Below are 2,180 nucleotides of genomic sequence, written 5' to 3' on the forward strand. Positions count from 1 at the left end.
CATGCTTCTGAATTCCACTTAAAAAAAATAGACTTATTGGCCAGGTGCGGTGGCTCACACCTATAATCCCAGCACTTTGGGAGGCCAAGGTGGGCAGATCACAAGGTCAGGAGTTCGAGACCAGCCTGGCTAATATGGTGAAACCCCATCTCTACTACAAATACAAAAATTAGCTAGTCGGGGCGGTAATCCCAGCTACTCGGGAGGCTGACGCAGGAGAATAGCTTGAACCCAGGAGGCGGAGGTTGCAGTGAGCCGAGATTGCATCACTGCACTCCAGCCTGGGTGACAGAGCAAGACTCCATCTCAAAAAAAAAAATTGACTTATTAATTATTTTGAATTAGCAATATATTCCCATGGTTCAAAATTGAAGCAATATAAATGAGTGTAGAGTGAAAAGTTTCTCTCTCATCCCTGTCTCCAGATATCTGGGTCCTGCCCATGAGAAAGCCACATGAACAGGTTCTTTGTTTATCCTTCCAAATATATTTTTTGCATACACAAATATGTATATTTGTATTTATAACATATTTGTATATTTCCCTTGTATATTTGTATATTTCCCTATCTCATCCCCCCCTTTTTTAACAAAAACAGGTCATACACTGAACATACATGTGTTCACCCAGACTCTTCTATGTGCATATGTTATCTCTTCACCACTGCTTCCTTTCTAAGAGAACTCCGATTTTGTGCAGTTCTTCAGCACCATACCCTTTCCCCTACCTACCCACAAACACACTTCATGGAATCCATGTGACTCAGGGGAAGTGGATTCCACCCCCAGATCTGGGAGTAGCTGGTCAAAGGGTGACCCATTCTCTTTGCCAGAGGTCAGTTCAGAAAGGGGCATGAAACCCAACTCAGGCCAATGGACATGCTGAGAATTTTGCTGGGCTTTCCAGGGAATTTTTTTTTTTCTCCTGAGAGAGCTGTGGAAGAAGTCTCTTTTGCCTCCTCTGGACACCACTATGGGGAGAAGTAAAGATGGGGCAGACACTTGAGGGATGGCCCGGAAGAAACTGGAGCGCCTGGATTAAGCCAATCCTGAAGTCTGCACGACTGCTGTCCTTTCAGGCAGAGGAAAGATGGGTGATGTCACTATTAGCAGTCTAGGGTGAGGTGACAAGTCAGTGAAGCCATTTCAAATCCAAGTCTGGTGTGGCTTGAAGGCTTTTGGTTTACAACGGTAAAATCAGTTCTCCGATGTGTAGCATTTTACAGTACAAACGGTGCTCCCACATTCAGGTTTCATTGAGAGTAAATACGCCAGGCAAGGCCTCTGTGCCCACTGCACAGATGAGGAAAAGGAGACATGGAGGGGAAAGTCTTGTTTAAGGACACATATCCTGTAAGAGGCAGAACTGGAATCCAACCCCAAGTTTGTTTCTGTTACCGAAACACCGGGAGTTTGGTCTGGGTCCTGCGGCTCACAGAACAGAAAGCCAATGACTGAGACGATGAGTATTGCCAAGGACGAAGGCTTTAGTCGGGTTCTGCAGCAGAGGAGATGGGAACTCAGTCTCAAATGCATCTCCCTGACTAACTAAAACTAGGGGTTTATATGGCAGGGAAGCAATGTAACCGTGTGTAAGAAAACGGGAACTAGGGAGGGGCAAGGAAGCAATCATGGTGAATGAGGGGTCCCACATCTTATTGTCTGATGTGACGGTCTGGTGAATTTCAGTTCTTTGGTACTTTTTTTGAGATCTGAAGCTCCTTTCCTGAGGAAGGAACTCGGATAAAACAAATATAAGTTTCAAGCTTTAAGACTAGAAGGGTGAATTTCTATGTTTATCAAAAGAAAAAAAAACTGTCTATGGGACAATTGCATTGGTTTTATTTAAACATCAAGGTTATTTTCTCCCAAACCACCAGATACTCTGGCTGGAGGCATTCATACCCACAGATGCATGCCAAGTGTTGACTCTACCCTCAGGAGCAGCAGGACCAGGAAGCTCTGGGAGGTCAGGACACAGGAGAGAGGCAGGAAGAGCCCCCGCAGGACCTACTGTGGTGGCCGAGACTGCTACAGCCATATGACCTCCGACTGTGCCCAGTTCCTTTTAGCATGTCCTCAAGAGTCAGTGCCTCGGAGCAAATGGGCTGACCTCTGGACTACACTGGGGAAGAGAGAAAAGGAGGTCCTCCCTGTTGCCCAATGGAAGATTCCTCAAGA

The 2,180-nt window shown here is 45.9% G+C and overlaps 1 annotated feature.

Moving 5' to 3' along the window:
• Positions 1,032–1,222: a silencer, noted in NCBI's record as "fragment chr15:30318078-30318268 (GRCh37/hg19 assembly coordinates)". NCBI's record gives its function as "represses an EF-1alpha promoter that drives an FKBP-Casp9 reporter gene in an ReSE screen in phorbol 12-myristate 13-acetate-treated (for megakaryocytic differentiation) K562 erythroleukemia cells {active_cell/tissue: K562(+PMA)}" and the evidence as "EXISTENCE:reporter gene assay evidence [ECO:0000049][PMID:32094911]".

The sequence above is a fragment of the Homo sapiens genome, chromosome 15 (assembly GCF_000001405.40).
Source record: "Homo sapiens chromosome 15, GRCh38.p14 Primary Assembly".
Taxonomy (NCBI): Eukaryota; Metazoa; Chordata; class Mammalia; order Primates; family Hominidae; genus Homo; species Homo sapiens.